The 21,906-nt window shown below is 37.5% G+C and overlaps 1 long non-coding RNA gene across 1 annotated transcript in view, besides 1 other annotated feature; it reads left to right on the top strand.

Annotated features, from left to right (window-relative positions):
• The window catches only part of LINC01414 (long intergenic non-protein coding RNA 1414), a 511,616-nt gene that overhangs the window by 234,993 nt on the left and 254,717 nt on the right, over positions 1 to 21,906 (top strand). Inside the window, exon 4 of the long non-coding RNA NR_125826.1 lies at positions 52 to 118. This is a non-coding gene — a long non-coding RNA (long intergenic non-protein coding RNA 1414). The remainder of the gene's footprint in view (positions 1 to 51; positions 119 to 21,906) is intronic.
• Positions 8,590 to 8,782: a silencer, noted in NCBI's record as "fragment chr8:65037341-65037533 (GRCh37/hg19 assembly coordinates)". NCBI's record gives its function as "represses an EF-1alpha promoter that drives an FKBP-Casp9 reporter gene in an ReSE screen in HepG2 liver carcinoma cells {active_cell/tissue: HepG2}" and the evidence as "EXISTENCE:reporter gene assay evidence [ECO:0000049][PMID:32094911]".

Raw genomic sequence — 21,906 nt, 5'->3', positions numbered from 1 at the left:
ATGTTTCATTGCCTTATTTAAAAACTAATGAGATTTTTTTTTCTTTTGTAGCCAAGACCATCCTCAAGGAGTTTAATGAATGTGGCATCACAAGAAAAATATGCATCAACATTGAAAAGTAAGATGAATTATTTTATCTAGTATTTTTTTTTTGTTAATTATACTTTTATTTGTTTACATTATTATCCTCATGTTGTCAGGGGTGCATTAAGACAATAACAGTTTTGCTCCAAAGAAAAAGTCATTTGTGCTTTCTCCTGGAATATTTTCCTACGACCTTAGTTCTCTGGAGAAGGCTTGTGTGGTAAGCCTATAGTAATGAGACTTGAGAGGTAATCGGAATGGAATGTGAAGAAAGGGAAGAGTAGGGCACCGAAGATTCACTATCTGTTCGAAAATTTTGCTAAGAACTAGCTGGGATCAGAGTATGTACACATAAGATCACACCAATTGATTCTGAATTTACCAAGAGTTGTTTTACATACTGTGAAGTTTAGAATAATATATATAAATAATTCTCTTTTTACAATGGTATGCTTCTTTTTAAGTGTCTGCTTTTTAGTGACTTGAGTCAATAACAAATTAGAAAAAGTGACCTGACTTCTAATTTTTGAATTCTGAAATATTCTATTTGATTATTATTTTTATGGGGTAAAAGGGAACTGAGATCTAGCCTTCTCAATCCTAGATGCAATTTAAAATCATTGGAAGAAATTCAATAATTATTCATGCTCAGATTTTACTGAAAACCAGTTATAATCAGAATTTCCAGGTGACTTTAGTGTGTAGCAGGGTTGAGAACTACAACATAACTCCATGTTTGGAGTCAAGCACAAAATTGGATCCAAAACTGGATCCTCCACACTTATTTATGAAAAACAAGAACAATGACAAAACAAAACTAAGCTATCAATAGCTGTAATCATTAATAGAAGTACTGGCTATTGAGGTACTTTATTTGGGTCCACATAAAAAATTCATAAGATTTATGTGATGAGGAAGCTAGTTTTAGGTATAAATATGAATGTTTCTCAGAGAAAGAAATGGTGCTCAGATAACTCTTGAGAATCTGAGGACAAAATTATCATTGAAACTTCACCTGGTAAAATCTAACTTTTTAATATCTTCATAATAATGAATTTGAGTTTATTTTAAACCAGATTCTAAAAAGTTACAATTTTATTTATTGTTATAATGTTATGGAAGCTCTGTTTCTAAATAGAATAATTTCTCATTATATAAACTGTGTAAATTTTCTTGAAGAACTAGATTGTGGATATTTTTATCAAAGTAAGTTAGCATGGTTATTGCCCTGAGTCGCTTTCATGACCAAAGAAAGCTGGAAAATTGAAGGAAAAATAGAAAAGCTACATTATGTATTTGATTGATTCCTTCAGTTCACGTTTGTAGGGGTTCTTGTTTGTTTTTGTTTTTTTGGCTTGTGAAGTTCTGGTCACAACATATTACTTACTTAGCTTTACTTAAAATGAGAGTATTTTTGATATGTCAAAATCAAAATTGATTCTTCTACACATGATAGACTTCTTGTAGAAGTTGTTTTAGAGTCTTAGTTGAATGTTGAAACTTTAAAAAATATCTTACCAAGGTTTGCTTGAATTGAACTTAAGTGTACTAGCTCTTAGGCAACTGTTCATGTTGTGAACACATCCTAACTATCTCAGCATGCCAGTGGTATATCATAATGGCCACTGTAAAGACCCTCAGCCTGGAATTATTTTGATAATGGAGGGGTTCCCAAGGAGTACCTGTGATTGACTCCCACAAAGCTAAGAACCATCTCCACTGCTGAAAGCATTTCTTATGATGCACTCTTTAAGTGGTCACAACAGGACGCTATGGGACTGAAATGGTGTTTAGATACTCTCTTGCTAAGAGCCATTTCTTGTTTCAGTGTCATTATGAAGACCCTTGATGTTCCCAGTCTTTTCCTCACACACATCCTTACTTTTGTGATCTACTTTTACCTCATTTATTTTCAAGGAAAATTGGTTTGGTACCATTTGCTTTCCTAATTGTTAAACTTTGTTCCCATTTTTGTCGTAGATTACCTCCTCTTCCTCCCTTTCTCCTTTGGTTTTCCTTTTCTCCTTCTTTCCTTTCTCCCTTCTTTCTTTTTTCTCTTCCTCCTTCCAATTGCTGGTCATAATTAGAATATGACTTAGTCTAGGAGTATCTATTGAATGCTTTAAGTCTACAGTACTGACACTTCCCAGTTGTTAGGGGTTGTTTTGAAGGGCATAAATTGAGCTATTAGTTCAGAGTGTTTGAGCTTCTTTCCTTTTTTTCTGGTGCTTTTATCTAGCTTCTGACTTTTAGATCCTTTCGCATCATTTTGCAAGGTTTTTATAAAGTCATCCCTTTGTGAAAATGTACTGCTTTGTTGAGTGTCATGGAATTTTTATTGATTTGTGGTTCCTTCATCTTGGGACAAATCCTCAGTTACCCCGGAAGATATATGTTTTGTGTTAGCATTGCTTTTATTATTTGCTATGTATGTTCTCTTTGACATTTTGATTTTTCATTTTTCAAGCAACGGTTTTATCTTGAGTTCTCTGTGTAGTTTCCAACACTTTATGTTTGAATACTTTTCACTGAGTTTAAATTTTTTTTAAATAAAATTATTAATAGCCCTATGGCTCTCTCCTTAATTGGTACTATTGGGTAGAGTTTACAAAGCTTGTGACAGCTGGCTGTGTTTCTCTTTATATGGCTAATGATCTGGATTTGTCCCTTTTGTGTGTGTGTGTGTGTGTGTGTGTGTGTGTGTGTTGAGATGGAGTCTCACTCTGTCACCCAGGCTGGAGTGCAGTGGCACGATCTTGGCTCACTGCAACCTCTGCTTCCTGGGTTCAAGCGATTCTTGTGCCTCAGCCTCCCGAGTAGCTGGGATTACATGCGCCCACCACCATGCCTGGCTAATTTTCATGTTTTTAGTAGAGACAGGGTTTCACCATGTTGGCCAGGCTGGTCTCTTAACTCCTGACCTTAAGTGATCCTCCTGCCTCGACCTCCCAAAGTGCTGGGATTACAGGCGTGAGCCACTGCACCCAGCCTGGATTTGTCCCTTTCTCTGATACTGCATCTTGGCTTCTGAGTTGTTATTGAAGTCAAATGCCTTTTCTACCTATTTCACAAGTTTGTTTTGAATCTTAAATAGTACATTGTATGATAACTCTTTGTTGGCTCTAAAGTGCTTTGCAAAAGTAAAAGATTGCTATTTCCTGAAGAAAATACACAAAGATGTATTTTATAAATCTTAAGTTTAAGCTTTTAAAAATATCAAAAAGTACACTGAAACTATAGTATTTTGTGCAACAAAAAGGAAAAGATATATAAAAACTCAGAAAAATGAAAAAAAGGTGAATAGTACTTTCTGAGATAATGTCTAAGACAGAAACGAGTTTGGATGTGATTCAGTTGTCGTCTACGATGACAAAATTCATAAGAAACAGAGAAGAAATTTTATGTGTTATTTTAATGAATATTTCTTAACTAGAGAGAGATTATAGAAGAGATAAAGATAGCTGGAGCAGATATAGAGGAATTAGTAACAAATTGATGACACATCTAAATGCACACATCCAGGAAAGTAAACAAGCTTTAGTGTAAGATGAAAGCTTTCTTTTGAATTCTAATTTCATCTGGTTGAAAACATACATCTAGCACATAGGTAGACACTATTTAGAACTAAATGGTAATTTATTATGAATAGGAATTTCCTATTACTTAGGCATTACCTTCTTCTGCAAAACTGTGTTTGAGCAAGCTGGTGAATGAGGAAAAGGCATCTGGGTAGGCTGTCTCATGTTAGCCTGTAAAGAGAGCATATTAGATGTAATAGAAAAATACTAACATTAAAATTAAAAAGTTGGGTTTAAAGCCTAGCTTTTTCACTTTAACAATGGGGAACATTGACACAGAGCAGTAGTGTTCCTCAAAGTTTTATGTGCAGGTGAATTGCCTGGAGATCTTGTTAAAATGAGGATTTAGATTCAGTAGGCCCAAGAGTCTCCCAGGGGGTGCTTGATGCTCCTGCTTTCCCATGGACCACACTCGGACTAGCAAAAGGCCAGAGTCTTTCATTTATTTGTGTTCTGCCACACTGTTGACAAGAACTAGGATTGAAATTCAGTATTCTTCATATTACAGTCCATGAAATAGGCATTGACCCATCATAAACTTCTTTCTTTTCCCTTGAAGTATGGATTCTCATCGATAAGCAAAAACAAATTCACAAAACATTGCCCCTTATCATTTATGTTCCATGTGTATGTTGAAACTTGATTTATATAGGGTACATTTATGATATAATCTAACTGTAACACAAAATATATTCTAAGCACAAGAAAACTATACTTTCACCTTTTTTACACCTGCAGTTCATTTACATAAAACAGTTAATTTGGTAGATATTTTTCTAGTAGTTTCTCCCTTTTTAAACATTTTTTTGGAGTAAAATTTATATACATAAAATATACAATTTTAACTCTTTTAAAGTGTACAATTCAGTGGCTTTTAAGACATTCACAATGTTATGCAACTATCACTATTATCTAATTCTAGAATAGTTTTGTCATTCCAAAAAGAATTTCTGTACTCACTAAGCCATCGCTCCTGTTCCCTCTTCCTCCAGCCTCTGGAAAACACGCATATTATTTCTGTTTTTGTGGATTTGTCTATTTGGGGCATTTTATAAATATGAGATTACAAAATGTGTGGCCTTTTGTATCTGATTTCTTTCACTTAAGAAACTTTCAAGGTTGATACACATTTTGGCTTGTATCATTACTTCATTTTTGTCGTTGAATAATATTCCATTTTATCAATAATCATATTTTGTTTATTCCTTAATCAGTTGATAAACATTTGTGTTGTTTTGTTTGTCAACTATAATGAATAATGTTGCTAGAATAGTTCTGTGCAAGTTTTTGTGGGGACATATATTTTTATTTATCTTGGGTATATACCTAGAGGTAAAATTTCCGAGTCATATTGTAATTCCATGTTTAACTTTATGAGGAATCGCTAAACTGTTTTCCAAAGTAAGTGTCACATTTCAAATTCCCACTAACAGTGTTTGAGGGTTCCCTTTTCTTCACATTCTCATCAATACTTATTATTTTCTGTTTTTTCATGTTGATTGATTTTTTTTTAAACAGCCATCCTAATGCAATGGTATCACATTGTGGTTTTGATATGAATTTCCCTAATGACAATGATGTTAAATATCCTTTCCTATGCTTATTTTCCATTTGTGTATCTTCTTTGGAGAAATACCTGTTCAAGTCTTTTTCTCATTTAAAAAAATATTTATTTTTGTTATTTTAATAGCTTTGGCGGTACAAGTGGTTTTCAGTTACATGGATGAATTCTATAGTGGTGAATTCTGAGATTTTAGTGCACCTGCCATGCAAGTAGTGTACATTTGACATGGTTTGACTGTGTCTCCACCCAAATCTCACCTTGAATTGTAATAATCCCCACATGTCAAGGGTGGAGCCAGGTGGAGATAATTGAATCATGGTAGTGGTTTCCCCATACTGTTCTTGTGGTAGTAAATAAGTCTCATGAGATCTGATGGTTTTATAAATGGGAGTTCCCCTGCACAGGCTCTCTTGCCTGCCACTGTGTAAGACATGACTTTACTCGTCATTTGCTTTCCACCGTGATTGTGAGGCCTCCCCAGCCACGCAGAACTGTGAATCAATTAAACCTCTTTCCTTTATAAATTACCCAGTCTTGGGTTGTGATGGTTAATACTGAGCGTCAACTTGATTGGATTGAAAGATGCAAAAGTATTGATCCTGGGTGTGCCTGTGAGGGTGTTGCCAAAGGAGATTAACATTTGAGTCAGTGGGCTGGGGAAGGCAATTCCACCTTTAACCCAGGTAGGCACCATCTTATCATCTGCCAGCAAATATAAAGCAGGCAGGAAAACATGAATTGGCCTACACTCACAGCCTACATCTTTCTCTCATGCTGGATGCTTCCCGCCCTCCATCATCAGACTCCAAGTTCTTCAGTTTTGGAATTTGGACTGGCTCTCTTTGCTCCTCAGCCTGCAGAAGGCCTATTGTGGGACCTTGTGATTGTGTGAGTTAATACCATATGTGTGTGTGTGTGTGTGTGTGTGTGTATATATATATGTGTGTGTGTGTGTGTGTATATATGTGTGTGTGTATATATATCTGTATGTATATGTATATATGAGTTTATTAAGTGTTAAGTAAAAAAATATATCCCATAGGTTTTTTCCCTCTAGAGAACCCTGACTAACACAGACTTTGGTACCAGGAGTGGTTCTAGAGGAACAGAATATTAAGAATTGAGTTCTTTAATTGGTTTTGGGGTTTCTGGAGTTGGCTGCTTAATATGATTAGACCCCAAAATACTAAAGACTGTACTTCTACTAGTATGGAGAACACTGATAATCCTTGGCATGAATTATTTAGAGAGTTATACAAAATAAATGCATTTGACACTCCTGATTCTTTGCTCATGAGAGGCAAGGAGTTTAGTGACTTTATACATAATACCTTTGGCCATATTTGGAGAACCAAGAAACATAATGAAGCTGATTGATTGCTCCTAAGTTCAGTGGAAAGAGGGATGAAATAAAATGATAAACTCAGGGATTCTATTTCCCAGCTTCAGAAGCAGATACCAAGCCTGAAATCTGCTAAGATTGCCCTGAGTGAGTCTTAACTCCTGTAGAAAAAGAGCTGAAATTGTGAAAAAACAGACACAAGCTCTTATCATGCAAGTGACTGACCTGCAATGAAATGTGCATCACAGTTCTGCCAGGTGTCTACTGTTGAAGTGAGGGCATTGGTTCGAAAAGAATGGACCCTGCAACTTAGAATGGGGATATGTGGGAGCACCCTGACAAAGCTGGGGGCATTGAGTTTGTAAACTGATGAACCTTGTTTGCCAAAAAAAACAGCTTTCCTATCCCCAGTAGTGGCAACATTCCCTTCCAGATCCATGCTGCCATCAGCCTTTCCACCTTTGTCTGAGGAGATAAACCCTGCGCTGCCTGAGGCAACAGTGATGGCCTCCTCTGAGGCAGTGGCCAGGCAAGATAATGTTGATTCTCCTCAGGAGCCACCCCCAACAGCCCTGTTTGCTTCTAGACCTATAGCTAGACTAAAGTCCCTGTGGACCCCTAGAGGTGAGGTTGAGAGTGTGACCCATGAAAAGGTGTGCTATACTCAAAAAGAACTGCTTGAGTTTTCTAGTTTATAGAAACAGAAATCTGGAGAACAAGCATGTGAATAAATATTAAGGGTGTGTGATAATGGTGGAAGGAACATAGATTTGGAAAAGGCTGATTTTTTTTTATTTGGGCCCACTAAGTAGGGACTCTGCATTTAATGTTGCAGCTCAGGGAGTTAAAGAAGTTTCTAATAGTTTATTTGCTTGGTTAGCTGAAATATGGATTAAAAGCTGGCCCACTGTGAGAGAGCTAGCAATGCCTGATCTCCCTTGGTTTGGTGGAGAGGAAGGGATCCAAAGGCTTAGGGAGATTGGGAAGGTGGAGTGGATTAGTCACTTTAGACCTACTTATCCCAGCTGGGAGGGTCCAGAAAATATACACTTGACCAATGCCATGCAAAATAGATTTGTGAGGGCAGCACCGACATCTTTGAAGAGCCCTGTAATTGCTCTTCCCTTCATGTCAGATCTAACAGTGGGCACCACAGTCACTCAACTATAAAATTTAAATACAATGGGAATAATTGGATCCTGAGGTGGCAGGGGCCAAGTTATGGCACTCAACCATCAAAGGCAAGGTGGGCATAGCTACCATAATGGACAGCAGAGTCAAAGTGGTAATCAGAATAGTCTGACTCATGTAGAGCTCTGGCATTGGCTAATTAATCATGGTGTTCCTAGAAGTGGAATTGATAAGAAACCTACTGCATTCCCACTTAATTTATATAAGCAGAAAACTTCTAGGTTGAATGGACAAAACACGAATTTGGATTATCCCACAATCAATTTCCAGACTTGAGCCGATTTACAGACTCAGAACCCCTTGAATGAAGGGGAAGCCAGGTCCCCTTGAGGAAGGACCCCACTACATTACTGACAATTTATGCAATGAATCTTTCTCCCATCCTTCTTCAAGAAGACCTCCAGCCTTTTACCAGGGTGACTGTGCATTGAGGAAAAGGAAATGATCAGACATTTCGAGGACTACTGGACATTGGTTCTGAGCTGATGTTGATTCTAGGGGACCCAAAATGTCATTGTGGTCCTCCAGTTAAAGTAGGGGCTATGGAGGTCAGGTAATTAATGGAGCTTTACCTCAGGTCTGACTTACAGTAGACCCAGTGGGTCCCTGGACTAATCCTGTGGTCATTTTTCTAGTGTCAAAATGCATAATTGGCATAGACATATTTAATAGCTGGCAGAATCCCCACATTGGCTCACTGACTGGTAGGATGAGGGATATTATGGTGGGAAAGGCCAAATGGAAGCCATCAGAGCTGGCTCTATCTAGAAAAATAGTAAATCAAAACTAGCATTGCATCCCTGGAGGGATTGTGGAGATTAGTGCCACCATCAAGGACTTGAAAGATGTGGGGGTGGTGATTCCCACCACATCCCCCTTCCAACTCTCCCATTTGGCTTGTGCAGAAGACAGATGGATCTTGGAGAATGACAGTGGATTACTGTAAGCTTAACCAAGTGGTGGCTCCAATTGCAGCTGCTGTACCAGATGTGGTTTCATTGCTTGAGCAAATTAATAAATCTCCTGGTACCTGGTATGTAGCCATGGATTTGACAAATGCCTTTTTCTCCATTTCTGTCCATAATGCCCACCAGAAGCAATTCGCCTTCAGCTGGCAAGGCCAGGAATATACCTTTACTGTCCTACCTCAAGGGTTTATCAACTCTACAGCTTTGTGTCATAATCTTATTCAGAGAGACCTTGATTGCTTTTGACTTCCACAAGATATTACACTGGTCCATTACATTTATGACTTTATGCTGATTGGATCCAGTGAGCAAGAAGTAGCAAACACACTGGACTTACTGGTGAGACATTAGCATGCCAACTAAACTTCAGGGACCTTCTACCTCAGTAAAATTTCTAGTGGTCCAGTGGCATGGAGCCTGTAGAGATATTCCTTCTGAGATGGAGGGTAAGTTGCTGCACTTGGCCCTTCCTACAACCAAGAAAGAGGCACAATGCCTAGTGGGCCTATTTGGATTTTGGAGGCAACACATTCCTCATTTGGGTGTGTTACTGCAGCCCATTTATTGAGTGACCCAAAAAGGCTGCCAGTTTTGAGTGGAGTCCAGAGCAGAAGAAGGGTCTGCAACAGGTCCACAGTGCTGTGCAAGCTGCTCTGCCACTTTGGCCATATGATGCAGCAGATCCAATGGTGCTTGAGGTGTCAGTGGCAGATAGGTATACTGTTTGGAGCCTTTGGCAGGCCTCCATAGGAGAATCACAGTGGAGGTCTCTAGGATTTTGGAGCAAGCCCCTGCCATCTTCTGCAGATAACTACTCTCCTTTTGGGAGACAGCTCTTGGCTTGTTACGGGGCTTGGTGGAAACTGAACTTTTGACTATGGGTCATCAAGTCACCATGTGACCTGAACTGCGTATCATGAACTGGCTGCTTTCTAACCGATCTAGCCATAAAGTGGGTCATGCACAGCAGCATTCCATCATCAAATGGAAGTGGTGTATTCATTAACCAGGATCGAATGGGTCCTGATGGCACAAGTAAGTTACATGAGGAAGTGGCTCAAATGGCCATGGTCTCCACTCCTGCTACCCTGCCTTCTCTTCCCCAGCCTGCACCAATGGCCTTATAGGACATTCCTTATGATAAGTTGACAGAGGAAGAGAAGACTAGGGGCTGGTTTACACACGGTTCTGCACGATATGCAGGCACCACCTGAAAGTGAACAGGTGTAGCACTGCAGCCTTTTTCTAGGACATCCCTGAAGGACAGTGGTGAAGGGAAATCTTCCCAGTGGGCAGAAATTCGAGCAGTGTACCTGGTTGTGCACTTTGCATGGAAGGAGAGATGACTAGATGTGCAATTATACACTGATTCATGGGCTGTAGCCAGTGGTTTGGCTGGATGGTCAGGGACTTGCAAGAAGCATGATTGGAAAATTAGTGACAAAGAAATTCGGGGAAGAGGTATGTGGATGGACCTCTCTGAATGATCAAAAACTGTGAAGATATTGGTATCCCATGTGAGTGCTCACCAACAGGTGACCTCAGCAGAGGAGGATTTTAATAATCAAGTGGGTAGGATGACCCGTTCTGTGGACACCACTCAGCCTCTTTCCCCAGCCTCCCCTGTCACTGCCCAATGGGCCCATGAAGAAAGTGGCCATGGTGACAGGGATGGAGGTTATGCGTGGACTCAGCAACTTGGACTTCCACTCACTAAGGCTGACCTGGCTATGGCCAGTGCTGAGTGCCCAATTTGGCAGCAGCAGAGACCAACACTGAGCCCTCAATATGGCACCATTCCTCGGGGTGATCAGCCAGCTATGTGGTGGCAGGTTGATTATATTGGACCTTTTCCATCATGGAAAGGGCAGAGGTTTGTCCTCACTGGAATAGATGCTTACTCCAGATATGAGTTTGCCTGTCCTGCATGCAATGCTTCTGTCAAGACTACCATCCGTGGACTCATGGAATGCCTTTCCACCATCATGGTGTTCCACACAGCATTGCCTTTGACCAAGGCTCTCACTTTATGGTTAAACTAGTGCAGCAGTAGGATCATGCTCATGGAAACTGCTGATCTTACCATGTTCCCTGTTATCCTGAAGCAGCTGGATTGATAGAACAGTGGAATGGCCTTTTGAAGTCACAATTACTGCACCAACTAGGTGACAATACTTTGCATGCCTGGGGCAAAGTCCTCCAGAAGGCCATGTGTTCTGTGAATCAGTGTTCAACATATGGTACTGTTTCTCCCATAGCCAGGATTCATGGATCCAGGAATCAAGGGGTGGCAGTGGAAGAGGCACCACTCTTCATCACTCCTAGTTATCCACTAGCAAAATTTTTGTTTCCTGTTCCCGCAACATTACGTTCTGCTGGTCTAGGGGTCTTAGTTCCAGAGGGAGGAATGCTACCACCAGGAGACACAACAATTTCATTAAACTGGAAGTTAAGATTGCCACCTGGACACTTTGGGCACCTTCTAATTTTAAGTCAACAGGCTAAGAAGAGAGTTAGTGTTGGTGGGGGTGATTGGCCTGAACTGTTAAGATGAAATCAGTCTACTACTCCACAATGGAGGGAAGGAAGAGTATGCATTCAATACGGGAGATCCATTAGGGCTTCTCTTAGTATTACCATGCCCTGTTATTAAGGTCAATGGGAAACTACAACAGCCCAATCCAGACAAGACTATAAATGACCAAGACCCTTCAGGTATGAAGGTTTGGGTCACTCCACCAGGAAAAAAACCATGACCTGCTTAGTTGCTCACTGAAGGCAAACGGAACACAAAATGGGTGGTAGAAGAAGGTAGTTATTATTACCAGTTATGACCAAGTGACCAACTGCAGAAATGAGGACTGTAATTGTTCGTATTTCCTCCTTTTTTTTTGTTACAAACATGTTTGTGCGTGTATACCCTTGTACTAAGTAAATATCTTCATTTTATTTTCTTTTTCTTTTATCATGTGACATAAGATTTATTGACTTCACATCAACACTTAAGTATTGTTAACTTTATGTAATAGTATTTGCTTTGGGGATTGGTGCATTTCTGGTTGTACGAAGGATAGTTGTGTTATGTTAGGCATAATTATGACTTTATCATTGTCTTTATTTGAAGATCATGTGTGATCTCAGGAGATATGTATGGGTTCGAGTTGACAAAGGGTGGACTTGTGATGGTTAATACTGAGTATCTACTTGATTGGATTGAAGGATGCAAAACTATTGATCCTGAGTGTGTCTGTGAGGGTGTTGCCAAAGGAGATTAACATTTGAGTCAGTGGGTTAAGGAGGGCAGACCCACCCTTAATCTTGGTGGGCACCATCTAATCATCTGCCAGCAAATATAAAGCAGGCAGAAAAACATGAAGAGGTGAGACTGTCCTAGCCTCCCAGCCTACTTCTTTCTCCCGTGGTGGATACTTCCTGTCCTTGAACGCTGGATTCCAAGTTCTTCAGTTTTGGAACATGGACTGGCTCTCCTTGTTCCTCAGCCTGCAGATGGCCTATTGTGGGACCTTGTGATTATGTGAGTTAATACTTAAACAACTCCCTTTTATATAAATATCTATTCCGTTAGTTCTGTTCCTCTAGAGAACCCTGACTAATACATGGGTATATCTTTATTAGCAACATGAGAACATACCAATACAACATTGTACCAAATATGGAGTTTTTTTTATCCCTTACCCTTCTCCCACTTTCCTTCTTCTGAGTTTCCAAAGTTCATCATATCACTCTGTATGTCTTTGTGTCCTCATATCTTAGCTCTCACTTGTAAGTGAGAACATATGGTATTTGGTTTTCCATTGCTGAGTTATTTCACTATCCAAGTTGCTGCAAAATACATTATTTCATTCATTTTTATGGCTGAGTAGTATTCCACAGTGTATATATACTACATTTTTTATCCACTCATGGGTTGATAGACCCTTAGATTGGTTCTATATCTTTGCAATTGGGAATTTTGCTGCTATAAACATGTGTGTGTGTGTGTGTGTGTGTGTGTGTGTGTGTGTGTGTGTGTGTGTGTGTGTGTCTTTTTCATATAATGACTTATTTTTCTTTAGGCAAATACCCAGTAGTGGGATTGCTAGATAGGTAGCTATGCCTTTAATTCTTTAAGACATTTCCATACTGTTTCCCATAAAAGTGGTACTAATTTACATTCCCACCAGCAATGTAAAAGTGTTCACTTTCCATGACATCCATGCCAACATCTATTGTTTTTTGACTTTTTAATAATGGCCATTCTTGTAGGAGTAAGGTGATATCTCAGTGTGGTTTTGATTTTCATTTCCCTGATGATTAGTGATGTTGAGCATTTTATCATATGTTTGTTGGTTGTTTGCATATATTCAATTAAAAAATGTCTATTCATGTCTTTGCCCACTTTTTTGATAAGATTATTTGTTTTTTTCTTGCTGATTTGTTTGAGTTCCTTGTAGATTCTGGATACTATTTCTTTGTCAGATGCATAGCTTTCAAATATTTTCTTCCATTCTGTGGGTTGTCTGTTTTTTCTGCTGATTATTTCTGCTGTGCAGAAGCTTTTTAGTTTAATTAGGTCCCATTTATTTATTTTTGTTTTTGTTGCATTGTCTTTTGGGGTCTTAGTCATGAATTATTTACCTAGGCCAATGTACAGAAGAGTTTTTCCAATGTTATCTGCTAGAATTTTTATGGTTTCAGTCTTTAGATTTAAGTCTTTAATCCATCTTGAGTTCGTTTTTGTTAAAGTAAGAGATGGGCATACAGTTTTATTCTTCTACACGTGGCTTGCCAGGGTTCCACTTTTGCTCATTTTTAATCAAGTTCTTTGCCTTTTCGTTTCTAAGTTGCAATTGTTCTATCTTCTGGATACTAGACTCTTATCAGATATATGAGTCACAAATACGTTTCTTCATTCTGTGGGCTATCTTTTCCCTTTCTTCATTGTGTTATTTGATGCAAAATTTTTTTAATTTTAATAAAATCATAGTATCAATTTTTTTCTCTTTTGTTGCTTATGCTTTTGGTGTAATACCTAAGAATACAATGCCAAAATCCAAGATCGTGAAGACTTATTTATGTGTCTTCTTCTAAGAGTTTTATAGTTATAGCTCTTACATTTAGGCTTTTTATTCATTAGTGCTAATTTGCATGGTGTGTGGTAAGGATCTAACTTCAATCTTTTGCATGTATTTATTCAGTTGTCTCAGCAATATTTGTTGAAATGACTCTTACTTCCTCATGGAATGATCTTGACACACTTTGATAATCGATTAACAGTAGGTATATGAACTTATTTCTAGACTCATAATTCTATTACATTGGTTCATATTTCTGTCCTCACGCCAGTACCACATTGTTGTACTTGGAGAGCACTACAAGCACTTATGATTACTGTAGTTTTGTAGCGCTTTGAAATTGAGAATGTGAGTTCTCCAACTATGTTCTTCTTTGCCAAGATTGCTTTGGCTCTTTGGGGTCCCTTATATCTTCTTTTTAAAAAGTTGATACATAATATTTTACATATTTATGAGGTGCATGTGATTTATTTTTGCATGCATTGAAGGTAAAATTATCAAGTCAGGATATTTGGGGTATCCATTGCCTTGATTATTTATCATTTCTCTGTGTTGGGAACATTTCAAGTCATCTCTTCTAGCTACTTTGAAATATACAATACCTTGGCTGGGCACGGTGGCTCACGCCTGTAATCCCAGCACTTTGGGAGGCCGAGGCGGGTGGATCACGAGGTCGGGAGATCGAGACCATACTGGCTAACATGGTGAAACCCCGTCTCTACTAAAAATACAAACAAACAAACAAAAAAAATTAGCCGGGCGTGGTGGTGGGCGCCTATAGTCCCAGCTACTCAAGAGGCTGAGGCAGGAGAATGGCATGAACCCGGGAAGCAGAGGTTGCAGTGAGCCGAGATCACGCCACTGCACTGCGCTCTAGCCTGGGCAACAGAGCGAGACTCTGTCTCAAAAACAAACAAACAACAACAACAACAACAAAAAAAATATATATATATATATATACACAATAGCTTGTTGCTAACTGTAGCCACCACACCCTGCAATCAAACATTAGAATTTATACCTTCTATCTAACTATATGTTTGTACTCATTGACCAACCTTGTCATCCTTCCCTTCCCAGCCTCTAGTATCAATCTTTTTTTTTTTTTTTTTTTTTTTTTTTGAGATGGAGTCTCACTCTGTCACCCAGGCTTAAGTGCAGTGCAGTGGCACGATCTTGGCTCACTGCAACCTCCATTTCCTGGGTTCAAGCGTCTCCTGTCTCAGCCTCCCGAGTAGCTGGGATTACAGGCATGTGCCACCACGCCCATCTAATTTTTTGTATCTTTAGTAGAGATGGAGTTTCACCATGTTTATCAGGCTGGTCTCAAACTCCTGACCTCAAGTGATCTGCCAGCCTTGGCCTCCTAAAGTTCTGGGATTACAGGCATGAGCCATCGCGCCCATCCTTAGTATCTATCATTCTATTCTCTACCTCCATGAAACCAAATTTTTTAGCTCCCACATATGAGTGAGGACATGCAAAAGTTGTTGCTCTGTGCCTGGCTTATTTCACTTAACATAATAATCCCCCATTATATCTATAATGTAATTTTATTCTTTTTTATGGCTGAATAGTATCCCATATATACCACATTTTCTTTATCTATTCATCTGGAGATAGATACTTAGGTTGATTCCATATCTTTGCTATTGTGAATAGTGTTGAAATAAACATATGAGTGCAGGTATCCCTTTAATAAGTTGATTTCCTTTCCTTTAGATGAATACCCAGTAGGGGACTTGCTAGATTTTATGGTAGTTCTATTTAGATTTTTAAGAATCTCCATACTGTTTTCCATAGTGGCTGTCCTAATTTGCATTCCCACCAACAGAGCTCCCTTTTATCTGTGTTCTCACCACATCAGTTATTTTATTTGCCTTTTTAGTAATAGTAATTGTAACTGGGATGACAATTCATTGTGGTTTTGATTTGCATTTCCCTGATGATAATTAATATTGACGATTTTTTCATATACCTGTTGGCTATTTGTATATCTTCCTATGAGAAATATCTATTCAAGTCCTTTGTCCCCTTTTTATTGGATTATTGTTATTTTTTTACTGTTGAGTGGTGTTCCTTCTGGATATTAGTCTTTTGTTGGATGAATGGTTTGCAAATATTTTATCCCATTGCTATTTTTTCTTTTCACTTAGTTGATTATTTCCTTCACTGTGCAGAAGCATTTTATATTGTCCCATTTGCCTGTTTTTGTTGTCTATGTTTTAAAGTCTCAGCCATGAAATATTTGCCTAGACCAACATTCGGAAGTCTTTCCCCTATGTTTTCTTCTAGTAATTTCATAGTTCCAAGTCTTATGTTTAAGTTTTTAATCCATCTTGACATGATTTTTGTGTGGTGAGAGATAGCAGTCCAAATTCATTCTTCTGCTATGGACATCTAACATTCTTAGTTTCATTTATTGAAGAGAGAGTGCTTTCCCCAATATATGCTCTTGGCATTTTTGTCAAAAATCAGTTGGCTGTAAATATGTATATTTATTTCTGTATTCTTTATTCTGTTTTATTGGTCTATGTGTCTGTGTTTATACCAATAGAGTGCTGTTTTTGCTACCGTAGCCTTGTAATGTATTTTGAGTTCAGATAGTGTGACGCTTCCAGTTTTGCTCAGAATTGCTTTGGCTACTCAGGCTCTTTTTTGGTTCCATACAAATGTTGATATTGTTTTTATCTATTTCTGTGAAAAACAATGTTTGTATTTTGATACTGACTGCATTGAATTTGTAAATCGCTATGGGCCTTTTAATATTATTACTTTTTCTGATCTGTGAATATGGAATGTCTTTCCATTTGTTTGTGTGTTCTTTAATTACTTTCACCAGCGTTTTGTATTTTTTGTTGTAGTTACCTTTCACTTCTTTGGTTGCATTTATTCCTAGGTATCTTTATAGCTATTGTAAATGGGATCACTTTCTTGATTTCTTCCTCAGTTAGTTTATTATTTGTATATAGAAACATTACTAATTTCCCTATGCTGATTTTGTATCCTGTAACTTTTCTGAATTTATTTATCAGATCTAAGATTTTTTTTTTTGGTGGAGTCTTTAGGTTTTTCTAGATCTAAGATAATATCATCAGCAAAGATGGATAGACAGTGTTTGACTTGTTCTTTTCTAATTTGCATTGCTCTCTTGACTGATTGCTCTGTGTAGGACTTCCAGTACTACATTGAATAAGAGTGGTAAAAGTGGTCATCTTTGTCTTGTTCCAGTTCTTAGAGGAAAGGCTTTCATGTTTTCTCCATTAAGTATTATGTTAGCTGTAGGTTTGTCATATATGGTCTTCATAATATTGAGGTATGTTTCCTCTATGCCTAGATTGTTGAGAGTTTTCATCATGACATGATTTTGAATTCTATCAAATGCTTTTTCTGCACCTATTGAGATGATGATATAGTTTTTGTCCTTCATTTCATTAATGTATTACATTTATTGATTTGCATGCATTAAACCATCCTTGGATTCCTAGGATAGATCTCACTTGATATGGCATATTATTTTCTTTATGTGCTATTTGATTCAGTTTGCTAAGTTTGTTGAAAATTTTTGTATCTATGTTCAACAGATTTACTGACCTGTAGTTTTCTTTCTTGTTGTTGTTGTTGCTTCCTTGTCTGGTTTTGGGATCAGGGTAATTCTTGATTTGTTGAATCAATTAGGGAGAATTCCCTCCTTTTCTATTTGTTGAAATAGGTTGAGAAAATTGATGTTAGGATTTTTTTTCTTGAAATTTGGTAGAATTTGGCAGTGAAATCATCTGTTCCTGGGCTTTCCTTTGTTGGTAGATTTTTGTTATTGATTCAATATTATTACTCATTATTGGTCTGTTCACATTTTCTATTTCTCCCTGACTTAATTATAGTAGGTTGTATGTGACCAGAAATTTATCCATTTCCTTTAGGTTTTTTAGTTTGTTCATGTGTAATTGTTCATAATAGTGCCTAATGATCTTTCTGTGCTATCAGGTGCAGTGTCTCCATTTTTATTTTGCTTATTTGGGTCTCCTCTCTTTTTTTTCTTGATCTACCAAATGGTTTGCCAGCTTTGTAGATCTCTACCAAAAGCCAGCTTTTCATTTTGTTGATCCTTTGTATTTTTTAGTCTCTATTTCATTTAGTTCTGCTCTAATCTTTATTATTTATTTTCTTCTACTAATTTGGGGTTTGGTTTGTTCTTGCTTTTCTAGTTCCTTAAGGTACATTATTAGATTCTTTATTTAAAATCTTTCTATTTATTGATATAGGCATTCATTGCTATAGACTTTCTTATTAACACTGCTTTTCTTATATTACATAGGTTTTGGTACATTGTGTTTTTCCTTTTTTTTAAAGAATTTTTTCATTTTTTTATTTTTAATTTTTTTTAACTGCCACCTCAACCTAAAACTCATTCAGGAACATGTTGTTTAATTTTCATGTATTTGTATAGTTTCCAAAGTTCTTCTTGGTGTTGATTTCTGCTTTTATTTCATTGTGGTCTGAGAAAATACTTGACATGATTTTCATAGTTTTTAATTTGTCAGGATATATTTTGTGTCCTAACATATGGTATATCTTGAAGAATGTTCTGTGGGCTGGTGGAAAGAATGTGTATTCTGTAGCTGTTGGATGAAATGTTCTGTAAATATGTTAGGTCTACTTGGTTTAATATACAGTATAAATCCAATGTTTCTCTGTTAATTTTCTGTTTAGGTGATCTGTCTAATGCTGAGGGTCAGGTGTTGAAGTTCCTAGCTATTATTGTATTAGAGTCTATCACTCTGTTTAGATCTACTAATATTTGCTTTATAAATTTGGTGTTTCACTGTTGGGTTCATACATGTCTAGAATTGTTATATCCTCTTGCTGAATTAATTCCTTTTTTATTAGGAATTAACTTTCGTTGTCTTTTTTTTTTACTGTGTTTGACCAAAATCTATTTCATCTGACGTAAGTATAGCTACTCGTGCTTTAACATTTCAACCTATTTAAAAAACAATTAATTACTTTCACTCTCATCTCTACCTCCAGCATTTATGTTCTTTTTTTGTTTTCTTTCTTTCTTTCTTTTTATTTTATTATTATTATACTTTAAGTTTTAGGGTACATGTGCACAATGTGCAGGTTAGTTACATATGTATACATGTGCCATGCTGGTGTGCTGCACCCATTAACTCATCATCTAGCATTAGGTATATCTCCTAAAGCTATCCCCCCCTCCCCCCACCCCACAACAGTCCCCAGAGTGTGATGTTCCCCTTCCTGTGTGCATGTGTTCTCATTGTTCAATTCCCACCTATGAGTGAGTTCATGTCCTTTGTAGGGACATGGATGAAACTGGAAATCTTTCTTTCTTTTCTTTCTTTCTTTCTTTCTTTCTTTCTTTCTTTCTTTCTTTCTTTCTTTCTCTCTCTCTTTCTCTTACCTTCCTTCCTTCCTTCTTTCTCTCTCTTTCTTTCTTTCTTTCTTTCTTTCTTTCTTTCTTTCTTTCTTTCTTTCTTTCTCTATTTCACTTGGTGGCATTATCCAACATACCATCACTCAAAGTAAAAACCTAGCAATTAGTCACTTAGTGCTTCTAATTTTATGTTTTATGAGAAATATTTTTTCATTGTTTTCTTCCTGTCTCTACCACCTATATTCCATGCTCTTATTTAGTTCCTCCTTGTTTATGTCTCCTGCACAACACTGCTGGGACACTTTCATTGGTTTCCATGCTGCCAATATTTTCAATTTCCATACATTCCTCCACAGGCCTCAGAAAAGTTCATCTAAAATATGAATCTGACCCTGTCACTACCCTGATAGGATCCTCATGTGCCCTGTAATTTAAAGGATTACTATTCCTTCATTGTGCTTATAACCACTTTCCTTCGAATTAAAAATTATTCAAAAATTCAAAAGAAAATTGAAGAGAGATGCTGCTAGTAAAAGAAGTGTGTGAGCACCATCATCTAGTTTTTAAAAATGGAACATCTTTATATTATGCTTTAACAGAATTAATTTTAAAAGCTTGATGGTTCCTCAAATGGTGAATTTGCATCAAGTATTATTAAGCCTACTACATTCTATAGAAAGGGATCACTGTATATTTAATTTTTCCATATACAATTATAACTCATATATGTGGTACATTTATCTAAACAAACCTAGTTTCCATTTCTGGAAGTTTATTTTGAACAGCGCGATCCAAAACTGACTTTCCACAAGAACAAAGTTACATATGGGAATTATACTTCTGGAGAACAACCAGAAGACTGTGCACATCATGAAATAAAATAAGAGAAGAAACATTAAAAGGAATTTGGACCTGAGCAACATTTATCAAAGATAGTCATTAGTAATAAGTCCCATAGTTCAAATCTAGATGTTTACTAAAGACAAAACAACAACAACAAAACCATGTGATTTGGTCAGCTGACTCACTAAGGAAGATTTACAATATTATTCTTAACAAGTTGAACTGGTTTGTCTTCCACCCTTTCCATCAAGTTTGTTCCTCCTCTGTCTTCTTCAATAAAATACCCCTACTATCTACTCAATTGCTCAAGCCAAAAACCTGTAAATCATCTGTTAACACACTTTCCTTCATCCCTAATATCTAATCCATCAGCAACTATTCAGGGCTCTTCTATCAAAAAATATCTTAAATCTATCTACTTATTTTTGTCTCTATCATCTCCTTCTAGTCCTTTCTAGATCTAGTTCTTTCTAGATCTCCTTCTAGATTCATCAATCCCTTCCTAACTGTGCTTGGCTCTTTTATTTTAGTCCATTTGCAACTTAGCCTATATATCAAGAAAAAGATGATATTTTAAAATGAATGAAACCATATTATTTAACTCTTCTATGGAAGATTATCCAAGGGTGTCACCACTTCAGTGAGATTCAAACTCCCTGCCTTGTCCTGCACAGTCCTACGTGACCTGACCTTGCCTCCCATTTTTGACCTTGTCACTTACCACTCTTCCGCTCACTTATTTTGTTCTAGGTACACTGGACTTCTGAATGAACCACCTTGCATTTGAGGGAGTTCTTTCCTGTCTTGAGGGTGTTTCCATACTATTTGGTACACTTGTAATTAGTTACAGGACTGGCTTTGCCTCTTCATTAGCCTTGGCTCATAGGTAGCCATCTGTTACAGGCTAAATTGTGTTCCCCGCAAATTCATATGTTGAAGTCCTAAACTCTAGTAAGTCAGAATGTGACTGTGTTAGTCTGCTAGAGCTACTGTAATAAAATATTACAGACTGGATAGCTTTAACAACAGAAATTTATTCTCTTATGATTCTGGAGGATTGAAGTCCAAGATCAAGGTGTGAGAAGTGTTAGTTTTTCCTAAGACTTTTCTCCTTGACTTACAGGTGGCCACCTTATTGCTGCATTCTAACATAGACTTTCTTCTGTGTGGATATACCTCTGGTGTCTCTTTCTCTTCTTACAAGGACACAGGTCATATTGGTTTAGGGCCCCATCCTTAGGTTCTCATTTAACCTGAATTGCTTCTCTGAGGGCTTTTTCTCCAAATACAATTACATTGGGGATTAGGGCTTCAACATATGACTTTTCTTGGTGAGGGGAGCACAATTCAGTTTGTAATAGTGACTGTATTTGGAGATAAGGTGTTTACAGAAGTAATTAAGCTAAAAGGAATTAATTAGGGTGAACTTTAACTGAGTATAACTGGTGTCCTTATAAGAAGAGGGGATTAGGACATAGACACTCATAAAAAGATGATGATGTGAAAACCCAGGGAGAAGATAGCCATCTACAAGTGAAGGAGAGAAACCTAAGAATAAACCAACCCTGCTGACACTTCGATCTTGGATTTCTAGCCTTCAGAATTGTGAGAAAACACATTTCTGTTGTTTAAGCCACTCTGGCTGTGGTACTATAGTATGGCAGCCCTAACAAATTAATGTAGCATCACAGTGAAGACTTCTCTGACCACCCAAACCAAGCAGAGACCCTTTTCTCTCTCTATTGTCCCATTGTTGGAATGTCACTCCATGACAGCAGGGTTCTTGTTATGCTGCTCTCTGCCTCCAGTGCTCATAGTATTATGCTCTGTTGAATAATCAAGTGAGGGATGGGCTGACTGATTGAA

This window comes from Homo sapiens, chromosome 8 (assembly GCF_000001405.40).
Source record: "Homo sapiens chromosome 8, GRCh38.p14 Primary Assembly".
Taxonomy (NCBI): Eukaryota; Metazoa; Chordata; class Mammalia; order Primates; family Hominidae; genus Homo; species Homo sapiens.
The sequence above is the reverse complement of the archived record's forward strand: the minus strand, read 5'-3'. Positions and strand labels throughout refer to the sequence as shown.